The sequence below is a fragment of the Homo sapiens genome, chromosome 1, assembly GCF_000001405.40.
Source record: "Homo sapiens chromosome 1, GRCh38.p14 Primary Assembly".
Classification (NCBI taxonomy): domain Eukaryota; kingdom Metazoa; phylum Chordata; class Mammalia; order Primates; family Hominidae; genus Homo; species Homo sapiens.
Genome location: NC_000001.11, coordinates 213,079,070 through 213,093,649, shown reverse-complemented (window position 1 = coordinate 213,093,649; position 14,580 = coordinate 213,079,070). Strand labels below are relative to the sequence as shown.

Sequence of the window (14,580 nt, the reverse complement as noted above, 5' to 3'; positions counted from 1 at the left end):
CTGCAAAAAATAAGTACTTCTCACCATACCATTAGAACAATAACTACATCAGCTCGATCATATGCAAAATTACAAGAGGACTCCTTTGCTGCTGAAGTTTACTTACTAATGTAAGAGGACCTATAAAAAGGTAGATGATTGGCTGGGTGCAGTGGCTCACACTTGTAATCCCAGGACTTTGGGAGGCTGAGGCGGGAGGATCACCTGAGGTCAGGAGTTTGAAACCAGCCTGGCCAACATGGTGAAACCCCATCTCTACTAAACTACAAAAATTAGCCGGGCATGGTGGCAGACACCTATAATCCTAGCTACTCAGGAGGCTGAGGCAGGAGAATCTCTTGAACCCGGGAGGTGGAGGTTTCAGTGAGCCGAGATGGCGCCACTGCACTCCAGCCTGGGTGACAGAGCGAGACTCCGCCTCATTAAAAAAAAAAAAAAAAAGTAGATTATTAACCAACAATTCCTTCCACACAACCACAGCTGCTGCCTACAAGGTTCATTACAGTTATCAAACATTACAAATGAACGGTACCATTTATTAAAAGAGATAAATTGCTTACTTATTAAGATTAATATGAAACTTTCATTCTATAATATGGAAGGATGTGGAGAAAAGTTTAAGATAATCCATTAGCAGCTGATAATAACAGCTAAGAACTTCAACCAATTTAAAAGCCACTCTTTCACCCAGTGACAAGTTTCTTTTTTAAGAAGCCAGCTATGTATCCTCTAACATTAAAGATAAATGTGTTAAATTCCACAGTACAGAAAGTGCAATGCAACAAGTAAAAATATCCCTCCTACCACTCCCTCAGAGGTTACATACACTATACAAATGTGTATAGGTATGATTCATATATGTTTATTTACACATACACAGGATCTTACTAAACATCATTATACGCGTTTGTTTTGTTTAGCTTAAAAACATATCTTGGATATTGTTCCATACAAGTGTATTTCTTTTTTTTTTTTTTTGAGATGGAGTCTTGCTCTGTCACCCAGGCTGGAGTGCAGTGGCACGATCTGGGCTCACTGCAAGCTCCGCCTCCCTGGTTCAAGCAATTCCCCTGCCTCAGCCCCCTGAGTAGCTGGGACTTCAGGTGCCCGCCACCATGCCCGGCCTAATTTTTCGTATTTTTAGTAGAGACGGGGTTTCACCATGTTAGCCAGGATTGTCTCGATCTCCTGACCTTGCGATCCGCCCGCCTCGGCCTCCCAAAGTGCTGGGATTACAGACATGAGCCACCGGGCCCGGCCCATACAAGTGTATTTCAAACAGCCCCAAAATCCTATTACTTGGCTAAATTATGGCACATCCATACAATCACAGATAGAGAAACATTCAATTTTCAGTTTTCTTCTACTGAATATAATGCTGCAATGAACACCCTGTGTATATGTATATATGTGTGTACGTGTGTTCTCTATGAGCCATCCACAGACTGCAGATGATCCCTGCAGGGCCTTTCAGGCAATCAGCAAGGTCAAACCATTTTAATAATACTACTACAAAAGCAGTTGCATTTTTTTACTGCACTAACATTTGCACTGATGATCTAAAAGCAATGGTAATAAAACTGCTGACCTCTTAGCATGAAATCAAGGCAACAGCACCAAACTATACTTACTCGGAATATAATGATTACGAGTATAATATGCCACTCACTCATATTTAAAAAAAAAAAAAGAAATGTAATGCCAGTTTCATTTAGAATGTCCTTGATAAAGCAGTAAAAATTATTAACTTTATTAAATCTCAACCCTTGAGAACAATAATTTTTTAAATTCTGTGAAATGAAACAAACTATAACTATTCAGATTTGGATATTTGACAGACATTTTCTCAAACATAAACAACTGGGCCTAACAATTCAAGGAAAATAACCAACAGTATTGTTATCAGTGATAAAATTCAAGCTGTCAAACCACTGTAAGCTTGACAGCTTCCCAATACTTTAAAATTTTTTCCTTAGAAATCTGTGATGATATTAATGATTTTTAACACTGTATAATAAAATGGGTAAGTGTTTACAAAATCTGCATAATTCAGGAAACCAATATTTTTCAAATGACCAATACATGGTGTTACAAACTCATGCCCAGGTAAAAGATATATTCAAATCTAAGACAGACCAACGGATTGTAATGTAACAAAGTACAAAAGGTTCATTTACAGGGTTCTGATTCCACAATGCAACTAGCCTTTATGAAATTACCACACATCAAGTTTTGGTGTATCAAAGAATACCTTTAATTATCTGAAAAAGGTATTAAAACACTCCTCCCAGGCCGGGCGCGGTGGCTCACCCCTGTAATCCCAGCACTTTGGGAGGCTGAGGCAGGCAGATCACGAGGTCAGGAGATCGAGATCATCCTGGCTAACATGGTGAAACTCCGTCTCTACTAAAAATACAAAAAAAAATTAGCTGGGCGTGGTGGCTGGCACCTGTAGTCCCAGCTACTCGGGAGGCTGAGGCAGGAGAATGGCATGAATCCAGGAGGCAGAGCTTGCAGTAAGCCGAGATCACGCCACTACACTCCAGCCTGGACAACAGAGCGAGACTCCGTCTCAAAAAAAAAAACACTCCTCCCTTTTTCAACTGCATTATCTTTGTGACCCTGAATTTTACTCATGTACTTCAACCAAAATAACATATCTCAACAGGCTGAATACAGAAACAGCTATAAGAATCCAGCTATCTCCTCTTAAGCCAGACATTAGAGATTTGTAAAAACATAAACCAACACCACTCTTCTTGCTATTTCTTTTTTGCTTTGGAAGAATCATTTTTCATAAAAACATCCTTTTATGTTAACATGTAGTGTATTTTTTATTTTTATTTAATACAATTTCTAAAATTTCTAGTATGGTAAATATTAATAGCTAAAACCTACATAAACAACAGTCCTTTGAAGTCTTCAATAATTTTTAAGAATATAAAGAAGAATCTAAGACCAAAACATCTAATAGTCATTCATATATATCTCCCATGTAGACATGAGAATAGATGTGTAGAAAAATTAATTAAAAACAGAATAGAAAAGGTTTATTTCAAATTGCCCTCCAAAGAAACTGTATGAATTTATACTCTTCCTGTTGTATATCTATTGCTCCATACTAGGTATAATCAAACATTTTAATTTTGGCTTTGGGATTGACTTTTGATGACATCATCACCTATAACTACTCTACCTTTTAAATCTTAACTCATACTTTTATTTTGCTCAACTTATTTATATGTCAGGCACAGTCCTACATGCTGAAGATACATTCATAACACCAAAGCAGTCTCTGGATCATGCAGCTTAGGGTCTTGTCAAGGAATCAAAGAGAAAGAGAGAAAATTATAATTAAAGGGCAAGGCAGGGTTCTTACTTTTAGAACACAAGAAAAAATACTGGCTGTAGGTTTAGAAGCATGATTCTTAAAACTCCTCAGACTGATGACTTCTTAAAATTATCTTCATCTTCATATTTAGAGTGCCACAAGTCTTAAAAACTTGATGGTGAGAATACCACATCCTGAAACAGTTCTCTTTCTCAACTCTGGATCCTAATGCTCACTTCTTCAACCATAAGACTCTAAGTTTCTTAGAGGGGCTGTTTGCATCATGATATCCTCAGTGCCAATTTTTAGAAAGCTTCTTGAATTAAATATGCCCATAAAATTTCTAGATAATTGATAGCTGGACTGAAATTAGTCAAAGAAGATTATTAATAGCTACATGATCCAGAGACTGTTTCAGTCTTATGAATGTATCTTCAGCACGTAGGACCGCGCCTGACATATAAATACTTGAAAAATAAGTTGAGCAAAATAAAAGCATGAGGTAATAGATTTTTGGCATGTAAACATGCTTGCCAGGCACTTTAACAGCAAAATGGGGCCGGGCGCGGTGGCTCACGCCTGTAATCCCAGCACTTTGGGAGGCTGAGGCAGGTGGATCACCTGAGGTCAGGAGTTCGAGACCAGCCTGGCCAACATGGTGAAACCCCGTCTCTGCTAAAAATACAAAAATTAGCCAGGTGTGGTGGCACATGCCTGTATTCCCAGCTACTCGGGAGGCTGAGACAGGAGAACCGCTTGAACCTGGGAGGCGGAGGTTGCAGTGAGCCAAGATTGCACCACTGCACTCCAGCCTGGGTGACAAGGGCAAAACTCCATCTTAAAAAAAAAAAAACAAACAGCAAAATGGTGGTCAAAAGAGGTAGTAGTTGCAATGGGAAAGGGCACACACATACATCTTTAAATGGGAAAGGTATCAAGAAAAAAAGTAAGGAACCATTGATATTGAATAGTAACTGTAAAGAGAAAACAACAGAAATGTGAAGCACCATGGAATATAAGGTCAAAGGCCAAAAGCAGGCAGTCACATGCTAACAGCCTACAACGGTAAGAGTTCATGAACTCCCAAATGCTTGGTAGGGGAACAGAATGGATTGAAGACCCATCATCAGAACTAATGGTTCTATTGCTATTGACCTGTTGCCCACATCCCTCAATTGCTTTCACATAAGAAAATAAAAATGTTTTTCTTTTTATTATGTGCCCAAGTTACCTCTATTACATATATCTCAAGATATTAAAAAATCATAAATTGTTACTATTAAATATTTGTTAAAATTAAAGAATAGTAGCAATAAGCTTTTGATGATCACTTCATTCTGGCACAAATGCCACTGATGTTGCTATACTATGTGAGATTCTCTGTATCTTGTCCCCAAATCTCAAGTAGGCGTGAAATGTAAAACGTACTGAGGAAGCAAGTGTCAAGTTCAGTGAATACTGTAATCCTATAATCAGCCTGGAGAAACCCCTGTTCCATGTAGACTACCAGCCAATGGAAACAGGTCATTCAGAATTACTTCAGATCATTCAGAACTCTTCCTAAATCAGAGTATCAATATAGGGTTCAATCAAGAGACAGAAGCCACACAGTAATTTGAACAGGGAAAAGTTTAATATAAAAAAAATTAGCCATGAGGCCAGGCGCAGTGGCTCATGCCTGTAATACCAGCACAGCACTTTGGGAGGCTGAGGCGGACAGATCACTTTGTGCTCAGGAGTTCGAGACCAGCCTGAGCAACATGGCGAAACCCCATCTCTATTAAAAATACAAAAATTAGTTGGGCATGGTAGCCTGTAATCCCAGCTATTCAAGAGGCTGAAGCCGGAGAATCGCTTGAACCCGGAGGTAGAGGCTGCAGTGAGCCATGATCACACCACTGCACTCCAGCCTGGGCAACAGAGCAAGACTCCATCTCAAAAAAAAAAAATTATTAGCCATGAGAGTGGAGTAACAATAAAGGTAAAAAGAGAACTCTGAAGAATATCCTAGGGTGAGGGAGAATACCCAAAGAAGGAACAACTTAGAAAGGGGAACTCTTCTCCAAGGCTGGGATTCGGATCTCTGTAGAGAAGGTGTGGTTGGGTTGCAGCCATTGGATGGAAAAAAAGTTTGCTAGGTTCCCTGGGCCATCGTTGAACCACAGTTGCCAGAAGAACAGGAAAGACTCCTCCAGAATTCAAGCATGCCAAGGCTGACAGGTGAGCACACAGTCATGGTATGAGGAACCAACTCACCAGCAAGGTAATGCAAGTCCTGGGGTACCTACCATCTGCAGTGGGAAGACCATAGGAAACAACTTTCTGGGGTTAAAGCAGACCAAGGCTAGCAGACAGGCCTGTAGAAGGAGAGGGGGTTATTAGGAGCGTACTCTCCAGGAGGGCAACCAGGTCTAGAGTCCAAAATGTGTTGGCAGGGAGGGGGAACAAGGGACACAGGAAACAACTCTGCAGGGTGCTAGCAGGCCAAAGCTGAGGGGCAGATACACAGACAAATTCCGGGTACACAGAAGGAGCCAGAGAGTTAGAAACTCAGTCTCCAATAGGACTGCGGCACCTTGGTGTCCTTAGCTAGGTGATCACCAAACTGGCTGAGCCTGCAAGCTTATCAAGAGATTGTGTGGCCAAGGCAGAATGGCTCTGGCAACAATGCAAAAAGAGCAAGAAAAAACAAAATCCATAGGATACTGGAAGAAGGAAGACAAGCCCCCTATACTCCTGAAATGGAGTGCCCTCCGTTGCTAAGCTTAACAGTGTATTCACCATAAAGAAAAAATACTGAAAGAATCCTACCCATTAACCAAGGAGGAAATGAAGAAAGAGATTTGAAGCTAAGAAGCAATAAAGGGATAACTGGCACAGCCTCTTAGAACCAATAATTATCACTGTAAGAGCCCCAGGAACTCCAGGCTGATCTTGAAAGGCAATAATTTCCCCAATGTTGATAAGAAATATAGCTGGTATTAGCTATCAGAACATACTCTGTAAAGCCGCTGCATAAAAATCAATGTGATATAGACATAGGTATTTATATAAGAATAGACAAATAAATGCCACAAAAGAGAAAATCCTTAATTAGTGAAAACTCACATGAAGTCTATACATAACAAAGATAATAATTCAACTTCATTGAGAAAAAGGTGGGTTATCTAACAAGTGATCTTATAAGTCCATTTCATCTGTAAAAAAAAAGGTAAAGTGAAACATCATCTGACATCCTGTTCAAATATAAATTCCTCAAGAATTATTTTTTAAACTTTTTTTTTAACTAGTACTATAATAATCATCTTGTAAAACAGGTAGGCATTAGGAGACATTTCTAGTCAAGACCAGAAACCCAAAACCAGGAGGTGGGAGGAGAGTACAAAGAGAACTAAATATATAATTGAACATATAAAATTTTGTTTCACTAAAGGTATTATAAACAATTCTAAAATATATGTATATCTATATAATACACGTGCACATATACATATATATATGCAGGTTTGCAAATGATTAGAGGTATGTATAAATGTGTGCATTATACCTATGCATATAGATAAATGTATTACATTTCCTATCTCTGGCTGTTGAAAAAAGCTTAGATGTAAGTTGCAAGAAGCATACCTACTGTCCAGATAGTGATCTCTGTAGCAGCCAGGGTCTGGACAGAAAATGAAATCCATACAGCAATTTAAATAGGGAGTCTTATAAAGAATTATTAACTATTTACCCAGAATTAACTACTAAGAAGAAATAAAAGACAACTCTTAGGAATGCCTAGATTGAGGAGGAAAACCAAAGGAAATACCTGAAAGAGGTGCCTCCTTGCCAAGGCTGGAATTCAGATCTCATTGGAGGCAATGTGGCTGTAACCCACTGGTTGTCCCTGACATAGCTGTTCTAATATGATAGTAGGAGGGTCAAACTTCATGGGCAAGGAACTACAGGCTGAGACTGGCAAGCAGGAAGCTCTGTTGTGGTGCCAGCAGATCCAGGCTGAAAGGCAAGGAGCCGCAGGCAGTAACTGACAACAAAATTTCCTAGGGGATGAGTACCACTAGGCATCCCACACATGCCACTGGCAGCACAGAGCAAATAGGAACGGAAGCACACCAAAACCCTACTTCCTACAGTGTCCTTCCAACACCTTCTACTGACTAAGCTCATCCATACCAGCTGGAAAAGGAGATCTGACAAAGCAATGAAGGATGGATGTGGAGCTAAAATACAATAAACTGAGAAGCAGCATAGTCTTTAACACCATTATCCACAAAAAGCAACTAGGGTTCCTTGAAGAAATGGTAGATTTCAGGGCAGGAGCAGAATAAATTCAAGATGAGCACTGAACATCTTGTTATGCCTAAAAATAACAAGTGCTGAAATTAAAAAAAAAAGAAAATAGGATGAGAGGAAGTTACAAGGACACAGAATCCAGCTTAAAAGGGCTCCTACTGATCAAAGCTGGGACAATTTGTGAATCAAAATAATTAAATGTATTAATGCATTCTAAACTACTAGAAAAAAAAGATATGTGAGTCCAGATCAATTAGGGATAGATGGACAGATTCATGGATACAATATATAGATATACAGACACAGATACACAGCTCTATAGATACACAGAGAAACGTAGATGCATAAACAAAGAGACACAGATAAAGGGAGAAGGAAGGGTAACAGCAAAGGTGGAGAGGTACAGGAATTGGAAAATCATTATTTTGTAACTATTATATAAACATTGAGTCAGGCAAGAATCATCAATGGATGCTAAATCCAGGGGATAATTTTGTTTTCATGATCTTACAAATATCTACCCAAAGGTTACTTATTAGCTTCAAGAAAGAAAAAAAAATGAATATACATTGTGTAGTAGTCTGAAAACTGGTTCCCTAAAGCTAATCCCTGGAACCTGTAAATGTTACCTTATTTAGAGAGTCTTTGCAGATATGATGAAGGATCTTGAGATGGGGATATTATCCTGGATTATCTGGATGGGCACTAAATGCTTCACAAGTGTCCTTATAAGAGAGTCGAGGGCAATTTCACAAAGAGGGAAATATGAAGATGGAACAGAGGGAGGTTTGAAGTTGAGGACCCTGAAGACTAAAGTAATGCTGCCACAAGCCAAGGAACATAGGCAGCTACGAAAAGCTGAAAGAGGCAAGGAACAGTGTCTCTCCTCTGAAAAGAGAGCATCCCTGCCAACACCTTGATTTCAGCCCAGTGATACCAATTTCAGACTTTGGCCTTCATAACTGTGAGAAAATAAATTTCCATTGTTTTACGCCACCAAGTGTATGGTAATCTGTTATGGCAGCCCCAGGAAACTAACACAGTGGAAAAGCTTGACAATACCTTGACCAGGTGACACAAATTCATATCACTAATAAGGGGCAGACAGACATCATGTGCCTTCAGATGAGATACTCTGAGGACACCTATGCAGTATCCAGCCAGGAAGAATTCATAACCTAGAACTAAACATGAGAAAACATCAGAGAACCTAAAATGAGAATCGTTCTCTTTAAAAAGGGGGAAAGGGATATGGATAGAGAGGCAGAAGGTATTCTTCAAAAATGCCAATATAATGAAAACAAAAAACGGCTATATTAACATTCCAGTGACTAAATAAAATACCAATCCTAGAATGGATCCTATCCCAGAGAGAAGAAAAATGATATTAAAAGGTCAACTAACAAAAGTGGAATACAGATGGTAGATTATATCAAAGTATTGTATCAATATTAAATTTACTCAAATTGATAACTGAACTCCATTGATGTAATACAATATCCCTATTCTTAGTGAAGAACTGAAGTGCTTAGGAGTAAAGGGACATGAAATTTGGAATATAATTTGGAATAGCTCATTAAAAAATTATGGCCAGGTGTGGTGGCTCACACCTGTAATCCCAGCACTTAGGGAGGCTAAAGTGGGAGGATCACTTCAGTCTGGGAAGTCGAGGCTTCAGTGAGCCATGACTGTGACACTGCACTCCAGCCTGGACAACAAAGTGAGACCCTGTCTCAAAAAAGTTAGAAAAGAAAGAAAGAAAAGTTAAGAAATTAAAACTTAAAATAATGTAAAATTACGTGCATATATTTTATATGTGTGTGCTGGGGGAGAAAGGGGAAGAGGGAGAGAGAGAGGAGACAGAGGAAGAGAGGGAAAGGGAGAGAGGGAAGGAGAAAGAGTGAGAGAGACACCAGCAAATGATAAAGTAAATGGGATAAAAGCTTAACAATAAGTGAATCTGGTTGGAAAGTATAGAGGTGTTCTTGTACTATTCTTCTTCTTGCAACTTTCTGTAAGTTTGAAACATCCCTCATCTCCACAGGCTGCCTGAGTGTTCTCACCATAAAGCAACCAGTTTCCCCAAAACATGTAACGACACATGGAGGGGAGGTGGGAGCATGAGCACACAAGATGGAAGCTACAGTCTTTTTTATAACCTAATCCTGGAAGTGATATACCATCCCTTCTGCATATGCTAACAGTCATACAGACTAATCCTGGTTCAGTGTGGGAAGGGACTTCACAAGAACATAAACACCAGGAGACAGGGACCACTGGGGGCCATCTTGGAAGCTGGCCAACACAGACCTCTCTTTGGCCTCAAAGATTCACACCCCTCCCACATACAAGATCTCCTCACCCTCCTCCCAAGGTCCCCAAAAGTCTCATCCCATTATGGCAGCAATTCAAAGTCTAGAATCTCATCTAAGTCACATCCACGTGTGACTGAGGTTCTTCAGGTGTCGTTCCCTAAGTGTAGCTCCTTAAGTACAATCTTCCTAACCTGTGAAACTATAGACAAGTTACCTCCCCTCTACCCACTCAATACACAATAGTGGGATAGGCATGGAATAACTGCTATAGACATTCCTGTACAAAAAGGGGAGTAAATGCGAGCCCCAAAGAAGTCAATGGGTCCATAGTAATTCTGAAATCCAGCAGGGCAAATGTTGGAAGTTTCTGATTAAGGCTCACAGGCTGGGAATAAATTCTCCAAGGCTATGGCTCTGCCCTCTGAGCTACTGGTTCCACCCTCTGAGTCATACCTCCTTTTCGGTGAAAAACAGCAAGGTGTGTGGCTTCGTGGTTGTTTTTAGCCTTCCTTCCAGTAAAATTTGGGGGAGACAAAAGTCTCTTTTCACTTTGTACTGCTTTTCTGCTTGTCAGTCCAAGCTAACAATGTTTCTGCATATATAATTACTTATAACTTTTTTGTGGGGGGGTCACCTGTGACTCTTATTGGGGTTTACTCAATTAAACAAAAGTGATAGCCACAAATCTCAAGTTAAACCCTTCTGTAGCTTTGGCTTCTGCTGAGTTGGCAGAGGCTTACACTTCCACGAAGCCCTACTATTTGAGAGGATGTGTAAGGCACAACCTTAATCTTTATTGAGAGCATTTGGTCTGACTGAATCTTTCTAAGGTCTTAAAAAACATTTTATTTCACACTGGGCTTCATCTTTAGGCCATATTTGCTCAGAAGTCATTTCTTAATTTTAGTACTCTCTGCTATCCAGAAAGATAGCATTTTCAAAACAAGTCCTAGGACCTTTTTGTTTAACAATCCTTCCTTTAGTTTCTCTCTCTCCTTTCACATTTTACTATGAGCAGCAAGAAGCACCATACTGTAAACACTCTGGGTGGAAATCTCTTCAGCTAGCTTACCCAGTTCATTTGCAAAGTACATTTTCAACTTTCCACATAACTGTAGGCAACAGTGTTGCTAAACTTTCTGCAACTACATAAGAGGGATCTTCCCTCCAGTTTCCAGTAACACTTACCTAACTTCTTTGGGAAACCTCACTTGCAGTCTTACCGAATACCATGAGGCTCCAACTAATCACTACTTTTTTTTATTATTTATTTTTTTGGGATGGAGTCTCGCTCTGTCGCCCAGGCTAGAGTGCAGTGACACGATCTCAGCTCACTGCAAACTCTGCCTCCCAGGTTCATGCCATTCTCCTGCCTCAGCCGCCTGAGTAGTTGGGACTACAGGCACCTGCCACCACGCCTGGCTAATTTTTTTTTTCTTTTTTGTATTTTTAGTAGAGACGGGGTTTCAATGTGTTAGCCAGGATGGTTTCGATTTCCTGACCTCGTGATCTGCCCGACTACGCCTCCCAAAGTGCTGGGATTACAGGCATGAGCCACCGTGCCGGGCCCAATTAATCACTTCTTCAAGGCACTTCAGGCACTCACCAACACTCCTCAAAGCCCATAGCTCATTTCAAAACCACTCCACATTTTCAGTTTTGTTACAAAGTCTATTAAGTAGTTATTGCTGGGTAACAAATTATCCCAAAACATGGTAGCTTACAAGAAACATTTACTATCTCACTCAGTCTCTGAGGGTCAGGAATTCAAAAGTGGCTTGGCTGGGTGGCTCTAGCTCAGGCCCCTCATGAAATTGCTGTTAACTGTCATTCAACGCTGTAGTCATCTCAAAGTTCAACTGGGACTGGAGAATCTGCTCCTAAGTTCATTCACATGGCTGTGGCAGGCTTCATGCTTACTAGTTTTTGGCTGGATGCCCCTGTTCCTCACCATGTGGGCCTCTTCATAGGCTACCAGAATGTTCTTAACCATAGGAAAAGCTGGTATCCCTCAGGGCAAGTTATGAGAAAGAGAAAGGAAAAAAAAAAAAAAAACCTTAAGAGAGATGCCACAGTCTTTTATAAATAAATCTCAGGAATGAGATATACCATCACTTTTGTTATTGGTCACACAGACCAACCCTAGTACAATCTGGGAAGGTGCTATGGTTTGGATATGGTGTGTCTGACCCCATCAAGTCTCATGTTGAAATTTGATCCCCAACGTTCAAGGTGAGGCCTGGTGTGAGGTGTTTGGATCACGGGAATGGATGTCTCATGAGTGGCTTGCTGGTTCTCACTCTTAGTTCCCGTGAACTAAACCTGTTGGAAAAAGCCTGGCACCTCCTCCTCTCTCTCGTTTCCTTCTCTCGTCATGTGGTGGCCTCTCATTCCCCTTCTGCCATGAGTGGAAGCAATCTGAGGTCCTTCCTAGATGCAGATGGAGGCCCCATGCATCTTTTATCTCCTGTAAAACCATGAGCCAAATAAACCTCTTTTCTTTATAAGTTACCCAGCCCCGGGTATTCCTTTGTAGCAACACTACACAGACTAAGACAGAAGGGAAGACACAAAGGTGTGAATACCAGGAGAAAAGAATCATAGGAGGCTATCTTGGAGGCTGGCTATCACAAAAGGCATGGTCCAAATATTTAGCAAACTAAAATGTGGCATGATTTCAATTCCCTGATGTAGTATAAGGAAAACAGAGACTTCACTTACACATTTTTCTTATGTTGGCACAGTAATTGTAACAATTGAACCTTGCAGAACAAAATGTAATTGTGGTATACCACCTGGTGTTATAATGAACAATATTTGCTCTGTCATAATAACGTTAATAAGGCAGGGTGCGGTGGCTCACGCTTATAATCCCAGCACTTAGGAAGGCTGAGGCAGGAGGATTGCCTGAGCACAGGTGTTAAAGACCAGCCTGGGCAAAATGGTGAAAACATGTTGCTACAAAAATTACAAAAATTAGACTGGCATGGTGGCATGTGCCTATAGTCCCAGCTACTCGGGGGGCTGAGGTGGGAGGATCGCTTGAGCCCAGGAGATGGAGGCTGTGGGACTGCACCACTGCACTCCACCCAGGGTGACAGAGTGAGACTCTGTCTCAAAAAATAATAATTTTATAAATGATGTTTATTACATTCTAGCTTTGAGAATTATTCTATACATTACGAGCTTAATTATGACTATTAAAGAGAATATAAATATTACCACCTTTGACAAATGTTAAACTATAAGCACAGATTTCAAATGTTAAGTGGTGAAGAGAGCTGAAGAGGTAGGAGGAAGATCAAAAATGCTATTAGAATCATCTTAGACAAATGATATTGTCCACACTTACAGAACGAGAAATAAAGTCAACAGAAGAACTAAAAATATTATGTAATAATACAGAGAAACAGGGTAAACAAGCTAAATCCTTACCCACCAGAGTAGTGAGTCAATAGATACGTAAAAGTTGTTAAATCAAGAAAAAATGGGCCAGGCGCAGTGGCTCACGCCTGTAATCCCAGCACTTTGGGAGGCCAAGGAGGCCAGATCACCTGAGGTCAGGAGTTCAAGACCAGCCTGTCCAACATGGCGAAACTCTGTCTCTACTAAAAATACAAAAAATTAGCTAGGCGTGGTGGCAGGTGTCTGTAATTCCAGCTACTCTGGAGGCTGAGGCAGGAGAATCACTTGAACCCAGGAGGCAGAGGTTGCAGTGAGCCGAGATCACGCCACTGCACTCCAGTCTGGGTGACAAGAGTGAAATTTCATCTCAAAAAAAAAAAAAAAGAAAAAAAGAAAAAATGGTATAAGCTTATTACAGATACAGATATAAGTACTTGAAAAAAAAGGATTAAAATTCAGTTATGTCTAGAAGCAAAAGTAGGTGGAGGGAAGGAGCAGGAAACTTGTTTTTATCGTGCATTCTTCAATACTACCTTTGTGTTTTGTTTTTATTTTACTTAGCCACATGCCTCTTTAAAAGTTATCTGCCAGGCGCGGTGGATCACAACTGTAATCCCAGGACTTTGGGAGGCTGAGGTAGGCAGATCACTTAAGCCCAGGAGTTCAAGACCAGCCTGGGAAATGTGGTGAAACCCCATTTCTACAAAAAATAGAAAAATTAGCCAGGCATGGTGGTGTGCACCTATGGTCCCAGCTACCTGGGAAGCCAAGGAAGGAGAATCACCTGAGCCCAGGAAGTCAAGGCTACAGTGAGCAAGATCACACCACTGTACTCCAGCCTAGGTGACAGAGTGATACTCTGTCTCAAAAAATAATAATAATAATTTAAAAGTTATTCCAATGTATAAAGGAAAATGATGTTACAATTATTTAAAACAATGAGACAATATGCATCAAAAGTCTCAAAAATATGCAGACCCCTTGACTGAGTAATTCTTCTCCCAGGAATTCACCCTACTGTACACCTGCACAGTAATGTATGAACAAGAATAGTAACTGCAGTGTTATTTGTAACAGCAAAAGGCCAAAAGTAATATACCAGTAAAAGATTGGTTAATAAATCAGTTCAAAAACTGGAATACTATGTACATATTAAAATTAGTAATGTAGATCTTTTTATTGACATGAAAAGACAATCATAATATACTGTCATATAAAAAATAAAGAAAAAAT

The 14,580-nt window shown here is 40.2% G+C and overlaps 1 protein-coding gene across 46 annotated transcripts in view; it reads right to left on the bottom strand.

The window, feature by feature from the left end:
- The window catches only part of RPS6KC1 (ribosomal protein S6 kinase C1), an 811,495-nt gene that overhangs the window by 769,086 nt on the left and 27,829 nt on the right, over positions 1-14,580 (bottom strand). For 3 of the 46 annotated variants that reach the window (XM_047417948.1, NM_001349648.2, NM_001349671.2), the window contains one exon: positions 5,620-5,688. The exons of the other annotated variants lie outside the window; for them this stretch is intronic. The gene's annotated coding sequence lies outside the window, so the exon portion shown is untranslated. The remainder of the gene's footprint in view (positions 1-5,619; positions 5,689-14,580) is intronic. 46 annotated transcript variants of the gene reach the window in all.